At 42.6% G+C, this 22,970-nt stretch overlaps 1 protein-coding gene across 7 annotated transcripts in view; it reads left to right on the top strand.

The window, feature by feature from the left end:
- Positions 1-8: 8 nt before the first annotated feature.
- ZSCAN30 (zinc finger and SCAN domain containing 30) overlaps positions 9-22,970 on the top strand; it is a 39,168-nt gene continuing 16,206 nt past the window's right edge. For 2 of the 7 annotated variants that reach the window (XM_047437266.1, XM_047437268.1), the window contains exons 1-2: positions 9-154; positions 22,556-22,730. In XM_047437266.1, the coding sequence (XP_047293222.1) occupies positions 112-154; positions 22,556-22,730 (218 nt within the window). In that variant the 5' untranslated portion in view covers positions 9-111. Of the gene's footprint in view, positions 155-22,555; positions 22,763-22,970 lie in introns of all 7 variants that reach the window. The other 5 variants (NM_001288711.2, XM_005258183.5, XM_047437267.1 and 2 more) reach the window with 4 other exon arrangements.

Genomic DNA, 22,970 nt, shown 5'->3' with positions numbered 1-22,970 from the left:
CGAGAATTAACCCCCGAACCGCCGCGAGCTGTCCCTAGCAGTGCCTTAGCCAGGGACCTGCTTGGCCAGCGACAGATCCTTTGCTGCTCTGTCTGCCGGTTCTTGAGGTGAATGTCGGAATCCATTATCTTTCGGGAAAGCTCTCTGGGGCAGGGTAGGTTTTCTTACTACATACAAGTTCTTAATTAGTTATCGTTTTTTAAATAACCACCCCTCCCCCTATCGCTTATCTGATTCGTAGGTATGCTTTAATTCTAACTTTCTTCCTGTCCTCTCTGGTTTTTCACACCCCCAGAAGAGTAGCGCGCATCAGAATCACCTGGAGGCCTTGTTAAAATACTGACTTCTGCCCCACAACTCCGGAGTTGCTGATTTAGTAGTGGGGGAGGGGGCGGTGGCAGCCCAGGTTCTCAGGTGATCCTGAAGCTGTTGGTCCTGGGACCACATTTTGAGAACCACTGCCCAAGAAATAAGTGATGCTCAGTAATTAATCCCTGAATTAACGGAAAGTTGGATTTTTATCTACTTTGCAATCTAGAAAGGGTACGAGGTCTATTTAAGGTTTGCTTGCTAGAACAATTCTCACTGATCAGGGTGAGAAGGACCCGAAATGGAGGGTGCGGGGTAATCAGGGTAGGAAAGGATATTGCTGTGTTCATGGAAATATCTTGGGAAATGAGGAGTTGGGACCTCATTTCTGTTGAGACCAATGAGACGTGTGACTTGGTTTAAGCTGTCCGGTGGGGAAAGGAAGAGGTTTGAGAAAATGGTGGGTGGCTAAGTGGTAGTTGAGGTGGAGGAAGAGGGCTTCCTGTCCCAGCCCAAGTCCCTGTTGGGATATATGAAATTTAGGGATGTATGACTAAGCCCTTAATATAACCGTAAGAGGAAAGAGATGTGGGAACTTGAGTCCAACCCTCCCAAGTAGGGAGTGCAGATAGTTTTAAAAAAACAGCTTTCTTTTTGGCCAGGCGCAGCTTAGGCCTGTAATCCTAAAACTTTGGGAGGTTGAGGCAGGTGGATCACCTGAGATCAGGAGTTGGAGACCAGCCTGGCCAACAAGGTGAAACCCTGTCTCTACTACAAATACAAAAATTAGCTGGGCATGGTGGTGTGCGCCTTTAATCCCAGCTACTTGGGAGGCCGAGTCAGGAGAATCGCGTGAACCCATGAACCCAGGAGGCGGAGGTTGCAGTGAGCCGAGATTGCGCCACTGCACTCCAGCCTGGGTGACAAAGCGAGACTTTGTCTCAAAACAAAACAAAACAAAACAAAACAAAACAGCTTTATTGAGGTATAACTGACATAAACAGCAAATATTTAAAGGATATAATTTGATAAGGCTTGTTAAATGAATACAGCTGTGGAACTATCACTGCAATCAAAATAATATGTTTATTACATCTAAACCCCAAAAGTTTCCTCCTGCCCGTTGGTAAGCCTCTCTCCCAATGCCCCCTCCACTGGTCAGCTGTTACTAGAGATTAGTTTGCATTTTCTAGATATTTATTTAAATGGAATCATACAGAATGTCCTTGTTTTTGTCAGAGTTGTTTCACTAAGCTTTTATTTTGAGATTTATCTTTATTGCTGTGTGTATCAATAGTTAATTTTTGTTGCTGAATAATATTCCATTGTATGTATATACCACAGTTTGTTTATCCAATCACCAGTTCATGGGCATTTGGGTTATTCCAGGTTTTTACTGTTACAAGTAAAGCTGAGAACATTCATGTACACACGTCTTTATATGGACATATGCTTTTTTCCCCCTCTCTCATGGTAGATGTACATTTAATGTTTAAAAAAACCCACACTACTTTTCAGAGTGGCTGTATCATTTTGCATTCCTAACATGAGTACATGAGAGTTCCGGTTCCTCCACATCCTTACCAACTCACTGTGTATCTCACTGTGGTTTCAATTTGCATTTCCATACTGACTAATAATATTTAGCATTTTGTAATGTGCTTATATGCCATCTGTATATATTCTTTGGTGAAGTATCTGTACAAATCTTTCGTCCATTCTGGACACTAGTCTTTTGTCAAATATATGCTTTGTGGCCAGGTGCCATGGCCCAAGCGTGTAATTCCTGCACTTTTTGTAGGCCAAGGTGGGTGGATTGCTTGAGTCTAGGAGCTGGAGACCAGCCTGGGCAACGCGGTGACACCCTTTCTCCACCCAGAATACAAAAAATTGTCGGATGTGGTGGTGTGTGCCTGTGGTCCCAGCTACTTGGGAGGCTGAGGTGGGAGGATTGCTTGAGCCTGGAAGGTGGAGCTTGCAGTGGGTGGTGATCATGCCACGGTACTCCAGCCTGGGCAACAGAGCAGGACCCTGTTGCAAAAAAAAAAAAAAAGAAGAGGAAGAAGATATATGCTTTGCAAATATATTGTGCCTTCAGTTTTCTTTCTGTTAATATTTTTTGAATAGCATCAGTTTTAAGTTTTGATGAAGCACAGTTTATCAATTGGCTCTTTTATGGATCATGCTTTTTGTATGATATTTGAGAAATCTTTGCCTAAAATAAGTTCACCAAGATTTCCTCCAGGATTTTTAGGTTTTACATTTTGGTCTCTGATCCATCTGGAATTAATTTGTTTCTACCCATACAACTCTGAGATTTAGGGTAAAGTTAATTTTTTTTTTTTTTTTTTTTTGGTATGTGGATATTCAGTTGTTCTGTACCATTTCTTTCTCCTCTGAGTTTCCTTTAAGCTTTGTAAAATCAGTTATCCATATATGTGTGGGTCTATTTCTGGCCTCTCTATTTTTTCATTGATCTACTTGTCTCTTTAGTCCAACACCACACTTAATTACTCTAGCTTTATAATAAGGCTTGAAATCAGGTAGTGTGAGACCTCTAATTTTGTTGTTTTGGTTATTCTAAGCCCATTGCATTTCCATATCAATTTCTGAATCAGTTTGTCAACTTCTACAAAGAAGCTATCTGAGATTTTGATTGGGATTGGATTGAATCTGTAGATCAATATGGGGAGAATTGACATGTTAAAGCAATATTGAGTCATCTGATCCATGAACACAATATTTTTCTCAATTTATTTAGGTCTTCCTTAATATCTCTCACCAATATTTTATAGTTCTTTTTAATATTTTACAGATCTTTCATAACTTTTGACAGATCTATTCCTAAGTATTTAATATATTTTGATGCTATTGTATTTTTCCTTTAATTTCAGATTGTTTGTTGGTAATATAATAGAGAAATACAATTGATTTTTGTATATTAATCTTGTATCTTGCAACTTTGTTAAATTCATTTATTAGTTCTAGTAGCTGTTTTTGTAGATTCTATCAGATATTCTACATATGAGATCAGTTTTACTCCTTCCTTTCCAATCTGGATGCCTTTCTTATTTTCAGCGCAGTAAGGCAGGCAAAGGGAGGTGGAGAAAGGCATTCAGATTGGAAAAGAAGAAGTAAAATTGATCTTTATGTATATCAGTGTTCGGTAGAAATGAAGAAAGGGGAAATCTTTGTCTTTTTTCCAATCTTAAGTGAAGATCTTTGTCTTTTTTTTTAATCTTAAGCATCCTTTCTCTGTTAAGCATGATGTTAGCTGTGGTTTTTTTTATTGGTACCCTTTAACAGACTGAGGAAGTTTTTTTCTAATTCTAGTTTGGTGAGAATTTATATCAGGAATGTAGGATGGATTTTGTCAATTGCCTTTTCTGTATCTTTTGAGAAGACAGTTTGTTAATATGGTGATTTACAATGATTGATTTTTGAACATTAAACCAAACCTGCATTCCTGTAAAAAACCCTGCTTCACTGTGATGTATTATCCTTTTTATATATTGTTGGATTTTTCATGAAGAATATTGGCCTATAGTTTTCTTGTAATGTCGTTGTCTAGTTTTGGGATCAAGGTAACGTGGGCCTCAAAGAATGATTCAAAAAGCATCCCATTGTCTTCAGTATTGTTGAAGAGTTTGTACAGAATTGGTATTATTTCTTCCTTAAATATTTGGCAGAATTCACAGTGAACCTATCTGGACCTAGAGTTTTTTTGTGGGAAGGTTTTAAATTACAAATTCAGTTTCTTTAATAGATATGGTGCTATTCAGGTTATATATTTCTTATAGGGTAAGCTTTAGTATTTTGTATCATTTAAAGAATCAGCCAATTTTGTATAAGTTGGCATAAAGTTGTTTATAATATTACTTTGTCCTTTTTGTATCTGTTGAATCTGCAGTGATGTTACCTCTTTCATTCTTGCTATTAGTAATTTGTATCTTCTCCCATTTCCCCTTGTCGGATAGGCCAGAGCTTTGTCATTTTTATCTTTACAGAGAACCAGCTTTTCATTTATTTAAAAATTGTCTTTCATTTTCTGGTCTATTAATGTCCACTCTGTTCCTTATTATTTCCTTTTTTCTCCTTGCTTTGGGTTTAACTTGCTTTTTTTTTTCTGGTTACTTTAAGTGGAAGTTGAGGCCTCTGATTTGTAATATTTCTTATTTTGTGTTATAGAAATTTGGTGCTATAAATTTTCCCCTAAGTACTGCCTTAGCAGCATCTCACAAATTCTGATGTGTTGTCTTTTTATTTTCATTCAGTTCAGAATACTTTGAACTTGGATTATTTCAGTTTCTAAATATTTGGGGGGTTTCTAGAGATTTTTCTGATATTTATTTCTAATTTAATTTTATTGTAGTCAAAGAACATACTGTGTATGACTTGAATCCTTTAAAATCTATTGAGACTCATTAATGGCCCAAAACATGGTCTGTCTTCATAAATGTTCCATGCACATTTGAGAAGGATATATTAATATATTCTGCTGCTGTTGGGTTGACTATTTGATTATTGTTAGTTGGTTAATGGTATTACTGAAGTTTACTATATACTTTGCTGATTTTCTACTAATTTTAAAAGTAATTATTGAAAGATGAGTATTGAATTCTCTGTCAATAATTGTGGTTTTGTCTATTCTCCTTGTGATTCTATCAGTTTTAATTTTATGTATTTTGAAGCTCACAATTTGCATAAATGTTTAGGATTGTTATTCCTTTTCCTTTTTCTCTTTTTTTGAGATGGAGTCTCTCACTCTGTTGCCCAGGCTGGAGTGTTGTTGATGGCAACAGTGGGCCATCTGGACCATCTGGAGTGGCCACTGCCAAGATGCTGGCTGCAGCCAGGAGGCTCTGCCCATGCTGTGAGCTTCACAGAGCCAGAGGGAGCGGGGACAAGCAGGAGCCCAGCTCCTTCCAAGTTGGCGGGTGGGAGCTCCCCAGGCATAGCTGCAGCTGCCCAAGTCATGGCTGCTGGCTGAGCCTCCCTGTGTTCTTGGAGACCAGGAGCAGGCAGGAGCCCTGCTCTCCTGGGTGCAACTGCAGCCACCCAAGTCCTTGCTACAGACCGTGTTCTTGGAGGCTGGGAGCAGGCAGGAGTGCCAAAGCAGGCAGGAGTGCTGGAGCAGGCATGAGCCCTTCCTGCATCCCCCACCTCCTTTGTGCAGCTGTAGCCACCCAGGTTGTGGCTGCGGACCAACCTGGATATCTCTGCACTCTAGGGGCCTGGGAAGGCACCCCCACCTCAGCAGGCTTGGAGGTATCTGCTTCTGCTGCCTGGCCTCTCCCTGCTCCTGGTGACTGCTCTGATCTAGGAGCAAGGTTGGGGCCGAGCCAGGGTGCTGTTGCAGCCCAGCCAGTTGTGCGCATACTTGAGGCAGTGCTGACAGGCCATTCCTCTGCTGCTTCAGCCCCCTCCAGACTTTGGGTGCTGACAAACATAGAAGGGAGGCTGAGGGAAGGCTGAAGGCAGTTCAGCATTTGCCTGCAGGTGCTTGTCCCCACGAACAGCCTGGGCACCATAGAAAGCAGTAGGAGGCGACATGCTCTGAGGCAGAAAGGGGCGGGTCCCCAGAAGGCCTGAAGCCTAATGGCCAGGCCACCAGTCCCCCTGACTGGAGGGGGAACTGGTGGTGCTTTTTCTTGGACCTGCCCATGGCCACCAATGGACCAATCAGCATGCACTTCTTCCTCTCTGAGGCCCATAAAATTCCCTGGACTCAGCCAGACTGGGGGAGAAGACCTGCCAGCAGAGAGGAGCTACCTACTCCAGGGCCTCTTTTCTGCTGAGAGCTGCAGAGACAACAGGAGGACCAACCTGCAGAGAGGAGCTACCCACTTCAGGGCCTCCTCTTTGCTGACAGCTGCAGCGATGATGGGACAAGCTGCCTGCAGAGAGGAGCTACCCACTCCAGGGTCTCCTCTGAGCTATTCTGTTGCTCAGTAAAGCTCCTCCTTCTCAGTAAAGCTCCTCTTCACTTTGCTCAGCCTCCACTTGTCTACATACCTCATTCTATCTGGATGCAGGACAAGAACTTGAGACCTGCTGAATGGTGGGGCTGAAAGAGCTGTAACACAAACAGAGCTGAAACATGCCCCTTGCTCACCACATTGCAGGCAAAGAGGAGAGAAGAGCTGTGGCCCTTCAGGAAGCCCAGACCAGGAAGCTCCCTGAGCCAGGATTGTGACTCCCGTTGGGGCCCTGCATTTCCTGGAGTCTCCAAGCTTCTGGGCACCACTGTGGTGTACTTAGTCCAGTCACAGCCTTGCAGTGAGCCAGGGCCCGTACTGGCACCTGGAGCTGCCCACCCTGCTGCAGCAGCCAGCGTGCCTGACTGTGTGCAGTGGCCAGACCCCACACTCTTTCGCTCACACATCCCTTGCTACTTCACGCCTGGCTCACCCTTGGCAGGGGCGAGATACAGGCTGGTAGCATTAGCCAAGCACAGCCTGCCAGGCTGAGTGGGCAGAACGATCCCAGTGGGCCCAAGCAAAACTCAGGCAAAGGCACCACTGGCCACAGAGGTTTCTGACTAGAAAAGCAACACCCCAAGTATCCTGTGACACAGTGGCATGATCTCATCTCATTGCAACCTCCACCTCCTGGGTTCAAGCTATTCTTGTGCCTCAGCTTCTGGTGTAGCTGGGGCTACAGGTGCGTGCCACCACATCTATCTAATTTTTGTATTTTTTTTTTTTTAGTAGAGACGGGGTCTCACCATGTTGACCAGGCTGGTCTCAAACTCCTGACTTCAGGTGATCCGCCTGCCTCAGCCTTCCAAAGTGCTGGGATTTCAGGTGTGGCCTACCATGCCCAGCCTGTTATGCCTCTTGATTGACTCCTTTTTCATAATGAAATGACCTTCTTTATCCCTGATATATCAGTCAGTGTTCAACCAGAGACACAAAACAAGTAATTGAATATATGTATATGTACATATGGATTTGTTAAAGAGAATTGGCTTACACAATTATGAGAGCTAGTTAGGCACTCTTATAATGCTGTTGTGTCTGATGCTAGAATTTGATGTTGGCAGAGTAGTCAGAAAGGAAGATGGAAGTAAAGTGGGAGAAGTCAAGGTCAGGCTGGAAGTCACAAGTACAAACTTGAACCTCATGAAAATGGACTGAAATCCATGTTAGTTCTTGTTGCCTTTGACCTTGGTGGTGAGGGTATCCTTCAGAAGCTGGGGCTGTTTGTCATAAACACACATACATAGGCCAGGAGTTGGAGAAGCTGAAGGAGGATCTAGAGGATGGTAGAGTAGTTGCAGGCCAAGCTGCTACAAAATGAGTCAACAAAGTGAGTCACCAGTCAGCAACAACATATGTGAACTACAAATGGCTACTATTTCCTTTCCACATTACACATCTCCCAAAAATTGCCTTTTTGGCCCGCCCAAACTGTAAACATAAAATAAATAATTCTAGGAAAACTGGTGCACTTTAAGCAAGATGACACATTATAAAAGCATCATGGTCTGCCCCTTGTCAACTTAGTACCATACATGTTTCTTTAAGCCATACTTTAATTCTCCAAATTATGATAACAATGAAGTTGTGCTTTCACCTTACATAACACTACTATCACATAACTATTAACATGCTAACCATTTCCCAAAAGAGGAAAATAGTCTTTTTGTTGGTCCATGAATGGCATTCATTCTGCTCCCAGATGATAACCCTCCTTCTTTCATATCCTATAACTTAAATACTGACATATAAAGTTAACTATTAACACATATTGTGTTAGATGATAAGATGAGAGAAGGAAGAAACATAAATTTTCAAGTAGTTTCCAAAAGAAGCTGGGTGTATATCATTGCCCACCAGAATGTTCTTCTTGAATTCAACTAGACTTTTAGACCTTCAAGACTACTGCAGATCACCCTTGGCATCAGATTAACTTAGAAGGATAGGACAGAAGCCACAGCTGACCAGTAGGCAGCACCTACCCCTCTTCGGTGGTAGTGGTACTCACAGTATTTTACACAAGCATGCAGGGTTTTTTTTTTTTTTTGGCCTTCCCATTCCAAGTTGACAGCTCAGATGCAAGGAGATGAGACTTACATTGGGAACCTGTGGGATGCATCTGGATTAGAAACTTCCACAGGAGCTAATATGTCTTATAGCAACTCCATGGACATAGCTTCTAGAATTTCTGTAAGAGACATGCCAATTACAAGAGTCACTATACTCAGGGAGGCCCAAAGTTATAGTATCCATTAGCATAGTCAATATTTATAGTTCATTTATAATTCTTTTGGTAATCAGGAAACATTTTTACCATAAACAATATTGTTGGGTAACATAATTGACCTATTAATAAGTTTTCAATAAAACAGAATGAGAAAATTAACCAAAGGTTAATTCTCATGTACAAAGGTAAAGTGTTTTGTTAACCTTTTACCCAAAAGTGATGATATGAATGTAGATTTTTTTGGGTGTTTGACCAAGGAAGCCAAACCATTCTTTCAGATTATGTTAGATTTGTAGCTTTGTGGAGTGTTGCCAGAGATGTTGCTTTCTGTGTGTGAGTTTGATGAGCTAACCTGGAGTTTGTTTGTTGGACTGGCCAAAACAAATCTGAGCCAACTATGGTCCATATCAGCTGACACTGAAGAAGTTCCTCTCAATGAAGTAAATGGAATTGAAGGGTTTCCAGAGAGATTAGCAGTGATAATACAGGCATGGGAAGTGATATAAAATTCTCAAGAATGAAACTGATAGGCCACCACCAATATTCTACCTGAATTCTATTTCTCATTTCACTTGGGGGAAACTAGGTCAAACTAACATGTGTACTAATATATGTCTAACTTAGGCATACGCTCTAGAGCAGTGATTCTCAATCTTTTTGAGATAGTAAATTTATTTGAGAAAAGGATGAAAACTGCAGACTTCTTCCTCAGATAAATGAACATAAAGACCTACATGTGGACTTTTGCTTATCATGTATTGTATTGGAAATTAATTTTCTTTGATACTTAGACTGTGTAAACAATTTTCACAAGGAAGGGATTTCAATTTAAAAATCAATTTCCAGTTCTGGGGAAAAAAAGGAAATAAATCAAAATTGTGAAGCCACATTAAAAATTAACTTGCCTTTTGCTCATATTAACAAGTAGGCTGCTGCTCAAATAAATATTAACAAGTATTAACATGTTTGTTGTGAATAAGATCTTTAAATTATGGGTAATAAGACATCTTTGACATGTCAGTGTGCATGTCCAGTTGACACTGACTTCCTAAAACTCAGAACCAGTGCTGAAAACTCTGATTCAGAAAAGAAAATAATGGCCAGTGTAATCACAGTTCCCAAGGTTCACTTTGACAGAAGTGACTGGCCTTGTATCAAGAAATACTATAATTCCCCAAGATCTTTAAAGTTGAGTTCAGGTCAGATAATTCCCTTTGTTTTTTATCAGTAAGGTCATTGGCATCACCTTGAAAAATCTTTATCTGTTAAATAACTGAAAGCCAAGTCATGGTGTTTTGTGTGTGTGTGTGTATGTGTGTGTTTTCTTTCTTTTTTTTCAGTAAGTGTTGCTTGCCTTCTATGTCTCTCTCTCTGCCTCTCTCTCTCTTTTTATAAATGGTGGTTGCCTTCTCTGTCTCTCTCCTCTCTATTTTTTTTTTTTTTTTGAGACAAAGTATCACTGTGTCACCCAGGCCGGAGTGCAGTGGTGTGATCACAGCTCACTGCAGCCTCAACCTCCTGGGCTTAAGTGATCCTCCCACCTCAACCTTCTAAGTGGCTGGGAATATAGGCGCATGCCACCATGACTGGCTAATTTTTCTATTTTTTTGTAGAGTCAGGGTTTACTATGTTGCCCAGGCTGGTCTTGAACTCCTGGGCTCAATCAGTCTACCCACCTCAGTCTCCCAAACTGCTGGGATTACAGGCATGAGCCACTGCTTCTGGCCCACAGTGGTTTAAATAAATCTTGGTTTATGTTAATCACATTGTTGTGGATTGAATTGTATCCCCCCAAAAGATAGGTTCAAGCCCTAACCTCCATTACCTGTGAATGTAACTTTACTTGAAAATAGGGTCTGTGTAGGCTGAATGTTATGTCCCCCCAAAATTCATATATTAAATTGTAACTCCTCATGTGATAGTATTTGGACATGGGCCTATGGGAGGTAATTAGGTTATAAGGGCAGAGCCTTTATGAGTGGGATTAAGTGTCTTTATAAAATAGGACTTGGAGTGCTCCAAGGCTTTCTGCCGTATGAGGACACAGTGAGAAGATGGCTTCTATGAACCAGGAAGCAGACCCTCTCCAGACACCAAATCTTTCAGTGCCTTGATCTTGTACTTTCCAGCCTCCAGTACTATGAGAAATAAATTTCTGTTGTTTATAAGCTACCCAGGCTATGCTATTTTTTGTTATAGCAGCCTGAATGGCCTAAGACAGGGCCCTTGCAGATATAATCAAGTTAAGGTCATAAAGGATTAGAGTGGGCCTTAATCCAATGCCTGGTGTTCTTATGAGATAGGCAAATTCAGACACAGAGGAGACAGAGGAGAATGCATGTGATGATGGAGGCAGAGATTGGAGTAATGCATCCAAAAGGCAAAGAATGCAAATGATTGCCAGCAACCTGAAGCTAAGACAGTGGGATGGAACAGACACTTCCCTAGAGCTTTCAGAGAGAGTATGGCCCTGCTGGCACCTTGATCTTGTACTTCTAACCTCCAGACTATGAGAGAATACATTTCTATTATGCCATCTTGTTTGTGGTACCAGAAGTGGGGTGCTATGTACAAATATCTAAAAATATAGATGTGGCTTTGGAATTGAGTAAGTGATTGAGCTGGAAGAGTTTTGAAATTCTTAATAGAAAAAGCCTTGAAGAGACTGTAGAAATAGGAGGATTAAAGGTGATTCTGGTAAGGGCTCAGAAGGAAGTAAAGAGGACAGTAGAGAAAGTTACATTTTAGGGAATACATACATTGCTATGAAGAGAATGCTGCTAGAAATAATGAACATTAAAGATACTTCTGGTGAGATCTCAGATGAAAGGAGGAACATGTATTAGAAACTAGAGAACAAGCAATCCTTGTTAGAAGTGGCAGAAACTTGGCTGAATCATGCTGTGCTATTGGGTGGAAAGTAGAACTTGTAACTAATGAACCTGAGTATTTAGCTGAGGATATTTCCAAGCAAGGAGTAGAAGGTGTAGCTTGTTTTTTCCTTCCTTCTTATGGTAAAATATGAGAGGAAAGAGATACACTGAGGAGGAAACTGTTAAGCAAAAATCATTTGATGATTTGGAAATTTCTCAGCCTATCTCAGATAGCATGCTCTGGAGACAGCACTGGGACAAACGTTTTGGTGAAGCGATTAGGTGTGTGATTTATGGATCCAATTAACTATTTCAGCAGAATCCAGGATAGAAATTGGGTTATCCAGGAAGGATCCATAGAGAATCCTTGTGCCTAATTGTATGGATTCTCTTAAAATCTATGGAAAACTGACAAGGATTTTGACAATGCTATCACCAGAAACACTGCTAATTTTGAAGAGGACAGAGACAGGATGAAAAGAAGAAAAGCTGTCCAACTTCTGGTATTACAAAAGCAGGAAACGAGGTACCCAGAGGGTGGGGACACTACCAAGGGCAGAGATGGCAGGGCCACCTCAGCTGAGGGTGGCTCAGGGACCAGTGAAGCCTCTTAGAGTCTAGAAGATAGGACCAGTTGGGTATCTATAGACCAAGAGGTTGGGGACAGTGAGGATTCCACTGACCCAGAGGGCATATTGAGTCAGCATAATTTGAGAACTCCACAAATATTTGGAAATTAAATAACATAATATAAATAACCATGATCCAAAGAAGAAATCATAAGAGAAATTAGAAAATTCTTTAAACTGAATAAAAGTGAAGTACAACATAAAATATTTTATGGGATGCTGCAAAAGTAATGGTTAGAGGAAATATTATAGCTTTAATATGTCTATTTTAGAAAAAAAATTATCTAAACCTAAGCTTCCACCTTAAGAAACTAAAAATGAGAGCAAACTTAAAAACAACAGCAACAGAACAGCAGAAGGAAGGAAGTACAGTCATCTTTTGCTTGATGCTAGGGATACATTCTGATAAATGCATCATCAGGTGCTTTTGTCTTTGTGTGAACATCATAGAGTATACATCCACAAACCTAGATGGTATAGCCTACTGTATTAGTCTGTTCTCATGCTGCCAATAAAGACATACCTGAGACTGGGTAATATATAAAGGAAAGATGTTTAATTGGCTCACAGTTCAGCATGACTGGGGAGGCTTCGGGAAACTTACAATCATGGCAGAAGGGGAAGCAAACATATCCTTCTTCACATGGTGGTAAGAAGAAGTGCCAAGCAAAAGGGGAAAAGCCCCTTATAAAACCATCAAATCTCATGAGAACTCACTGTCATAAGAACAGCATGGAGGTAGCTGTCCCCATGATTCAATTACCTCCCACTGGGTCCCTCTCATGACACATGGGGATTATGGGACCTACAATTCAAGATGAGATTTGGGTGGGGACGCAGCCAAATCATATCATTTTGCCCCTGGCCCCTCCCAAATCTCATGTCCTCACATTTCAAAACATGATCATGCCTTTCCAACAGTCCCCCAAAGTCTTAGCTCATTCCAGCATTAACCCAAAAGTCCAAATCCAAAGTCTGAGACAAGGCAAATCCCTTCTGCCTATGAGCCTGTAAAATCAAAAGTAAGTTAGTTACTTCCTGGATATGATGGGGATACAGGCACTGGGTAAATACACCTATTCCAAATGGGAGAAATTGGCCAAAACAAAGGGGGTACAGGCCCCATGCAAGTCTGAAATCCATTGGAGCAGTCAAATCTTAAAGCTCTGAAATGATCTCCTTTGACTTCATGTCTCACATCCAGGGCACACTGATGTAAGAGGTGGGCTTGCATAGCCTTGGGCAGCTCTGCCCCTGTGGCTTTGCAGGGTACAGCACCCCTCCTGGCTGCTTTCACAGGCTGGCATTGAGTGTCTGTGGCTTTTCCAGGTGCATGGTGCAAGCTTTCAGTGGATCTAACATTCTGGGGTCTGGAGGACAGAGGTCCTCTTCTCACAGCTCCACTAGGCAGTTCCCTGTTGGGGACTCTGTGTGGGGACTCCATCCCCACATTTCCCTTCCATACTGCTCTAGCAGAGATTCTCCATGAGGACTCTGCCCCTGCAGCAAACTTTTGCTTTGACAGCCAGGCATTTCATATATCCTCTGAAATCTAGGCAGAGGTTCCCAAACCTCAATTCTTAACTTCTGTGTGTCCACAGGCTCAACACCATGTGGAAGCTGCCAAGGCTTGGGGCTTGCACTCTCTAAACCCACAGCCCGAGCTTTACGTTGGCCCCTTTCAGCCATGGCTGGAGCGGCTAGGATGCAGGGCAACAAGTCCCTAGGCTGCACACAGCAGGGGAGCCCTAGGCCCCACCCACAAAACCATTTTTTCCTCCTAAGCCCCAAGCCCTGTGATGGGAGGGGCTGCTGTGAAGGTCTCTGACATGCCCTGCAGACAGAAAACTGACTAAAGAAGAAATAGAAAATGTGAATAGATGTATAATAAAGAGATTGAGTTAGTAATTTAAAAAAAAAAAAGGCACACAAAGAAAAGCCCAGGCCCCAAGGGCTTCACTGGTGAATTCTACCAAACATTTAAAGAAGAATTAATACCAGTTCTTCACAAACTCTTCCCCTCCCCAAAACAAGAAGAAGGAATATCTTCCATCTCATTTCATGAGGCTAATATTACTTTGATATCCAAATCAGTCAAATACATCACAAGAAACATAAACTACAGACCAGTATGTCTTATTCTCAACAAAATACTAGTAAACTGAATTCAGTAACATATAAAAAAGGATTTTCTACTACGACCAAGTGGAATTTATCCCAGGAATCCATCTGAGCATCAGTTTAAAAATCAACCAAATCCATATCAACAGAATAAAGGACAAAATATGCAGAAAAAGCATTTGACAAAATCCAACACCTCTTCATAAAAAACAAACGTTGAAGAGAACCAGTATGAGAAAAAAATGGGATATCTGGAAATGGAGAATGTCATTACAGACCAACTTCAATAAGTCAGTTATGAATAAAAGAAAATAAGAAATAGGGTAATAGTGGAGTTTAGGGATGGTTTATTTGCTTGGTTGGTGGCTTGATAATTTTTAAGATAGGAAAGATATGTAATGTGTAAAAGATAGCAGGAAGAATCCAGGAGAGAGAGAGTAGATAACACAGGAAGAGAATGAACTGTTGATGGCATATGATTGATGGGGAAGGAGATGGGATCCAAGATACAAGTGGAAGAATAGGTCTTTAGATATGAGTGGCCCTTCTCCTATGCTAAGATGATAGGAGAGAATGGGTGCAAGCTCAGGTAAGTTAGTGGGAAACTGAGGACATTCCAATTCATTGGGAAGAAGGAGGTTATATCATCATTTAAGAATGAGGGGTGAGGAGAATAATGCTTGAGAAAATGGCTTGAAATAAACTTCGTGCAAAGGTGAGCTTACTAGAAAAACATAAGATTGATAAGCAATACTGAGTGACCTGTAGTGTTCATGTATTCTTAATCATTCTTATGATGCTAACTTTATAGATGGATGGAATAGCCTATAGCCATCTCCATCATAACACTATATGTGGGATCAAAGATGAATAATGTAGTTGAATGAGCTGGCATGAAAACCAGCATAGATAAGAAGGACAATTCAGTAAGTGATTAATGGATAATTAGTTATTCATCTAGAAATACTTATTGTAGATCTCTGCCTCATAACTGCACACAAAGCAAATAGCAAGTATATTAAATACATGGGAGAAAAGCAAACTTTTTGTAAAATTTGTAGAAGAAAATATGTGAAAGTATATTTATGACTTCAGAGTAGGGAAGGAAATCTTTAAAAAAGACAGTAAAGCCCAATATATATAAAAAGGAAATTTCAATTGGACTACATTAAAATTAAAAACTTATTATTCTTCAAAAGATACTATCTTTTAGGGGAAAATTAAAGTCACAGAACTCAGCTTCCATTATTGGTACAGTGAGTAATGTGGATCACACTTCCCTTAAGGACAACCAGTAAATCCATATAAAAATATGAAATCAGCTGGAAGGCATTAGAACTGTCAAGGTAGTACAGAATACTAGAACAAGATCCAAGAAATGATCTAAGTCCAGTGAGGTGAACCAAAGCATCTAGTGGGCTTTCACTTTCAGATTATTTGCTTATCTGGAAGAGGCAGCTGAGGGTACTGAATGGCATTTTTGATAGCCTCATAGGACTAGAGAGAAGAAAGTTGGAATCAGAGACTAAGGGTTGGGACCTTGGTACTTTGAATTATACCCAAAATCAACTACATTCTAGGAATAAAGGTGAACTTGTAGTAAACCAGCCCTTCCACAGACTGTAGCCCAACTGCAAGTCATCTGGTTGACCCAGAAAAATCTCAATACCTAAAACTGGTTTGTGATGACCAACAATTATTGGAGCTCCCAGATAGCTGGCAGAAGCAAACAATGATTCTCTCTAGAAGAGGAGTACCTTCGGCCGGGCACGGTGGCTCATGCCTATAATCCCAGCACTTTGGGAGGCTGAGGCGGGCAGATCACGAGGTCAGGAGATCGAGACCATCCTGGCTAACACGGTGAGACCCTGTCTCTACCCAAAACAAAAAACAAGCAAAAAAAAGCCCCCAAAAATTAGCTGGGCATGGTGGCGGGCGCCCGTAGTCCCAGCTACTTGGGAGGCTGAGGCAGGAGAATGGTGTGAACCCAGGAGACGGAGCTTGCAGTGAGCCGAGATCGCACCACTGCACTCCAGCCTGAGCAACAGCAAGACTCCGTCTCAAAAAATAAAGAAGAGGAGTACCTTCAAATTATTTCCCCATCAACTTTTCATGAAAATTCCTGATAAAAGATAACCAGGCAACCGAGCTAAGAACAACCAGCAGAAACAATTGACGATAGAAGTAGAATCACTGGAGTTTCTTATGTTAGGATAATTAGATTTGGATAAAATACTGTTTTTTATTCAGGGACGTAAAAGACAAGATTGAAAAGAATTTGATGGAAAACCAGAAGCTATTTTTAGAATGACTTATTAGACTCTAATTCCTGATTTAATTAAGCTACAATTATCAAAACAGTGTGGTACTGGCATAAGAATAGACATACAGGCCAATGAAATAGAGCACTCAGAAGTAAACCCTCACACGTGGTCAACTGATTTTTAACAAGGTTGCTAAGACCATTCAATGGTGGAAATGGTGGTCTTTTCATGAAATGATACTGGGAAAACCGGATACATACAATGGAATGAAGTTGGACTCTTGCCTTACACCATATACAAAAATTAAAAATGGATTAAAGGTACTGTTATAATGATAGTAGCATTATTCAAAACAGCCAAAAGGGCGAAGCCACCCAAGTGTCCGTTAACAGATGAATGGATAAATAAAATGTGGTGTATACATGTAATAGAATATTATTCAGCCCTAAAAAGAAAGGAAAATCTGACATATACTACAACATGGATAAACCTGGAGACATTATGTTAAGTAAAATAAGCCAGTCACAAAAAGGCAAATATTGTACGATCCCACTTATTTGAGGTACTTAAGGGTAGTCAAATTTATAGAGACAGAAAGTAGAATGGTGGTTGCCAGGGGCTCAGGGGAGGGAGAAATGGGGAATCACTGTTTAATTGGTATGGAGTTTCAGTTTGGGAAGATAAAAAAGTTCTGGAGATGGATGTTTGTGAAGGTTGTACAACACTGTGAATGCACTTAATGCCACTGAAGTTGATACGGTTTGGCTCTGTGTCCCCACCCAGATCTCATCTTGAATTGTACTCCCATAATTCCCATGTGTTGTGGGAGGGAATGGGAGATAATTAAATCATGGGGGTGGTTTCCCTCATACTGTTCTCGTGGAAGTGAATAAGTCTCATGAGATCTGATGGTTTGATAAGGGGAAACCCATTTTGCTTGGCTCTCATTCTCCCTTGTGCTGTTGTCATGTGAGACATGCCTTTCACCTTCCACCATGTTTGTGAGACCTCCCCAGCTACGTGTAACTGTAAGTCCAGTTAAATCTCTTTCTTTGGTAAATTGCCCAGTTTTGGGCACGTCTTTATCAGCAGCGTGAAAACGGACTAATACAGAAATGTACACTTAAAAATGGTTAAAATGGTAAATTTAATGGCATGTGTGTTTTACCATAAAAATCTTTCTAAAATGGGCCGGGCACGGAGGCTCATGCCTGTAATCCCAGCACTTTGGGATGCTGAGGCAGGCAGATCATTTGAGGTCAGGAGTTTGAGAACAGCCTGGCCAACCAATATGGTGAAACCCCGTGTCTACTAAAAATACAAAAATTAACTGGGTGTGGTAACACACACCTGTAATCCCAGCTAGGATGAGGCAGGAGAATCGCTTGAAGCTGGGAGGCTGAGGTTGCAGTGAGCCGAGATTGTGCCACTGCACTGCAGCCTGGTCCACAGAGCGAGACTCCATCTAAAAAAAAAAAAAAAACTTTCTAAAATGATGGATATGGGCCGGGCACGGTGGCTCACACCTGTAATCCCAGCACTTTGGGAGGCCAAGGCAGGTGGATCATTTGAGGTCAGGAGTTCGAGACCAGCCTGGCTAACATGGTGAAAGCTTGTCTCTACTAAAAATACAAAAAATTAGCCAGGTGGTAGTGAGAGGTGACAACGGGCTAGCAGCCCTCGCTCGCTCTCAGCACCTCCTTGGCCTCAGCGTCTGCTCTTGCCATGCTTGAGGGGCCCTTCAGCCAGCCGCTGCACTGTGGAAGCCCCTCTCTGGGCTGGCCGAGGGGGAGCTGGCTCCCTCTGCTTGCGGGGAGCTGTGGAGAGAGAGGCGTGGGCGGGAACCGTGCCAGCGCGAGTTCCGGGTGGGCGCGGGCTCGGCGGGCCCCGCACTTGGAGCGGCCGGCCAGCGCCGCCGGCCCCAGGCAGTAAGGGGCTTAGCACCCGGGCCAGCAGCTGCGGAGGGGGCGCGGGGTCCCACAGAACTGCCTGCGCCACAATCAAATTCTTGCTGGGCCTTAGCCGCCTCCCCATGGGGCAGGGCTTAGGACCTGCAGCCCGCCATGCCCAAGCGCCCCCCCTCCCCGCAATGGGCTCCCACGCAGCTGGAGCCTCCCCGGCGGGTGCCGCCCCCTGCTCCGTGGTGCCCGGTCCGATCGACTGCCCAAGGGCTGAGGAGTGCAGGCACGCGGTGCAGGACTGGCAGGCAGCTACGCCCACGGCCCTGGCACGGGTTCCACTAGGCAAAGCCAGCTGGGCTCCTGAGTCAGGTGGGGACTTGGAGAACTTTTATGTCTAGCCAGAGAGTTGTATATGCACCAATCAGCACTCTGTGTCTAGTTCAAGGTTTGTAAACACACCAATCAGCACTCTGTGTCTAGCTTAAGGTTTGTAAATGTACCAATCAGTGCTCTTTGTCTAGCTAATCTAGTGTGGACTTGGAGAACTTTTAAGTCTAGCTAGAGGATTGTAAATACACCAATCAGCACTCTGTGTCTAGCTCAGGGATTGTAAACGCACCAATCAGCACCCTGTCAAAATTGACCAATCAGCACTCTATAAAACGGACCAATCAGCTCTCTGTAAAATGGACCAATCAGTAGGATGTGGGTGGGGCCAGATAAGGGAATAAAAGCCGGCTGCCCCAGCAAGCAGCAGGAACCTGGTGGGGTCCTTTTCCACAGTGCGGAGGGTTTTTTTGCTTTTTGCAATAAATCTTGCTGCTGTTCACTCTTTGGGTCTGCACTGCCTTTATGAGCTGTAACACTCACTGTGAAGGTCTGCAGTTTCACTCCTGAGGCTAGCAAGACCACAAACCTACTGGGAGGAATGAACAACTCCGGACGGGAGGAAGGAACAAACTCCAGATGCACCACCTTAAGAGTTGTTAACACTCACTGCAAAGTTCTGCAGCTTCACTCCTGAAGCCAGCAAGACCACGAACCCATCAGAAGAAAGAAACTCTGAACATGTCCGAACATTAGAAGGAACAAACTCAGGACACACCATCTTTAAGAACTGTTAACACTCACTGCGAGGGTCCGCGGCTTTATTCTTGAAGTCAGTGAGATCAAGAACCCACCAATTCTGGACACAGTAGTGGCCTGTGCCTGTAATCCCAGCTACTTGCGAGACTGAGACAGGAGAATTGCTTGAGCCGCGGAGGGGGAGGTTGCAGTGAGCTGAGATGGTGCCACTCCACTCCAGTCTAGGCAAGAGAGTGAGACCCTGTCTCAAAAAATAAATAAAATAATGGATGTGAACTTGAACCAAAGAGAAATTCTGAATTAAAAAATCCAATGACAGAAATTGAGAACTCAAGGAATATGTTTAAAAGTACATTATCACTAAAGAAAGAATTAGTGATTGGAAAATAGGTGGTAAAATATGCAAATGAGAAACAAAAATTAAAAAGAGCAGATAAGAGATACAGAGGATATGGCGTGTAAGTCTAACAGGTTATTGAAACCCCACAGCAAAGAAAGGCAGACAAGGTATTTGTTCCCTCGTTCCCCTATTTCTGCCTTCTTTTTATTAAGATATTTTAAAATTCAATTTATCTATTATTGCAAAGATAGTACAGAGAGATCCCATATACTTTCGCATTCATTTCTTTTTATTAACATCTTTCACTGATGTGACATATTTGTCAAAATTAGTTGACCAAAATTGATACTTCATTATCTAAAATCCATGCATTATTCAGGTGTTAATACATTTTTTAAAAGAAAATAAATAAATGATAGAGAAGTGTTTATTATTGATGAAGTTGCTAATTTTCTTAGGTATATATCACTCTCCCCTCCCCACCCCACAGTGTTAGCAGATACTGGTATTCATCTGTTCATTAAAAATGGGGAAATTGGGTACTTACATTAAAAAGTGTGTTGCTAGATCCTTTAAGGGAATGAACAAATTGAGTATGTTCTGTGTATAAACCTTATGGACTTTTTACATAGAAGACAACTTTACAGTCTTTTTTTTTTTTTTTGGCCACTCATTATTTTATGTGCTTCATTAGAAATGTGCTATGTTTACTTTGTTCATTTCACTCATTGGGTTCTTTTTAACAAGTACAGGCTAGCTTCACTGTCTAGTATGGAACCACTAATCCCATGTAGCAATTTAAATGTAAATTAATTAAAATTCAATGAAATGAAAATTTTACTTGCTCAGTTCCTATCAGCCATATATCAAGTGAGCAAATATATGTAAACCTACTCCCAGAGGTTGAGAGAGCTGAGCTGACAAATGCAGTTTCTCAGAAGGAAACATTTGGTAGGGATAAAAGGACTTAAGATGGTGGATCCCCATACCTGCCCTGCAGATATTATTCTTTCTATTGCAAGCTTTTTTTTTTTTTTTGGTAAAACGTGCAGCTTGTCATGTCTGAGACCCTCTTGCAAAACTCTGACCAGTGGGAAAATTAGATAAGGATCTTTATGAGGGGTTTTCTATGCTACAGGTATTGTTTCTTTATGAGGGGTTATCTATGTTATAGGCATTGTTTCTTCACCTTGCTGGGGGAATGCCTTGGTATGCAAGAGTCAAACACTGGTTATTATGATGTTTCACTTCAAGATAGCATTACTCTTGCCATGCAACAGGCAGCTTTCCTACACATAGCCATAAATGGCTAATGGCTTCCATATTGGATAGTAGATACAGAACATCACTTGAAGTCGTCTCTTCCAGTCATTGGCCGTTGTAACATTCTTCAAAGTCTGGCTCAACTGTAACATCTTCTGATTAACACCTTTGTGGTCAGAGTCATCTGACATAAACATCTTCAACTTCTCCCTTTTCTCTTGCACTCACCCTCCACTTTCCTCCTATTCAGGAACAAATCACTTCCTTCTTTTCTGAGACAAACTACTTCACCAGCCCATCTGGTCTCATTTCCTCCCCATCAGCTGTATCTCTTTTCTTCCATCTTCAATTTCTTGTGCCTACTAAACTTTACCTTTTCTTTTCTACAAATTAGCTTTCCACTACCCTTGAAAATAAGAATACTTTAAATCCGGTTGCTTAGTTCAACCAATATTCTTTTTCTTTTCTTGCAGTATCACAATTCTCAAAAGAGATTATTGTCTATTTTTAGTCTTACCAACTCTTCTGAACCACTCGAAAGGACAGTCCACAGGTAACATCTCTCTCTCTTGCCCTCCTCTGTCATTCCCCCAAATTCCACCATCAGCTTAGTTCTCACCCTCTTTCGGCTCTCTGCAGCAAAGCAACAGTGTTCCGTCTCCTGAAACACTGTTGTTTTTATGATGTTTGAACCATCTGGGCGCTCCCTAAGTAGCTCCTCTTCTCGAACTCCTTTTCTTCCCCATTCCAAAACGTTGGTATTTCACAATCCCGTTTATTTTCCAAAAGACCTCCCTTGGCGATGTCATCCCTTGCCCTATTTTCAATCATACTTTCACAGATTATTACATTTTGCTAAATTCATGGGTCACCTGTATTCTTTCATCTCTTTTGTCCTTTAATCCACTCTATACGGTACAGACACCGCCCTGAACACTGTTCCAGCCATGTTATATGTGAATACCCTGCACTGATGATTCAATGCATTTCTAACACCTGAGCCTGGTATTTGACACTCTCCACAACCTAACTCACTCTAACCAACCCCTTGGCCTAGTTTCTGGCCAGCTAAGATGCCGGGCCAATTCCGAGCGTGCCCTGAACCCCGCCCCGCTGTGCCCTGGCTCCTGTCGCTTCCTACGCGGGAAACCCGTGGCGCTCCTCCTCCTGCTGTGTCAGCATCCAGCACGCGGCCACGGGCAGCTCGAGGGCAGAGTCCACCAGGAAATCTTTACAGCTTCTCCTGCCCCCCATCCCGACCCCTCCGCAGCACCTGGCGTCCTCGGCATTCGTGGGCAGGACCCGTCCCCGCCCCAGCCCTTCCGCAGCTCCTAGGACTGTCGTCTTCGCAGTCAGCACGTCCGCGGTGAGCGTGGTCAGCTCCTCTTCCTCTCAAAATGTAGAGATCATGGGTTCTCGGTTTTTATTTTCTCGATGGTATACCAGCCCGCGACATAACGAGGAAAAATATGTTTGAATATATACGTATATTTTTATGTATTAAAATATATAGAATATATAATTATATTTAATATGTATCTTATGCTCCCCACCCTTTCAGCAGCGCGTCAACCGCTTGTACTCTGCGATGCCCCCGCCAGGTCTGAGCCGGACCCGCGCCCCTCCTGCGAGACACGACCCGCGCCTGCCACAGAGCTGCGGTCCTCCGGGCTCCTAGAGGGGCACTCTCCCACTTCCGGCGCGCGTGCGGCCGGGCATTGTTCTCGCTCCCGGGGGTGGGTTCCCGCCGCCGCCGGTAGAGCGAAGGGTGAGTGGGGCGGTCCAGCAGGGCGGTCCCGGGTGCTTCCCAAACCGCCCCTGTCCCGCATCCGGCCTCCGCGCCGCCTTTCTTCGACCCCTCGGCCACAGGCCGGGGCTCGGCTGTATCTGGGGTCCCGCCCGCCTCTCCGTCGGTCAGTCCCGCCATCCATTTCCACTTGCCCACTCAGCCACCCCGCCTTTTTGGTCAGCTGACT

The sequence above is a fragment of the Homo sapiens genome, chromosome 18 (assembly GCF_000001405.40).
Source record: "Homo sapiens chromosome 18, GRCh38.p14 Primary Assembly".
NCBI classification, from domain to species: Eukaryota; Metazoa; Chordata; class Mammalia; order Primates; family Hominidae; genus Homo; species Homo sapiens.
The sequence above is the reverse complement of the archived record's forward strand: the minus strand, read 5'-3'. Positions and strand labels throughout refer to the sequence as shown.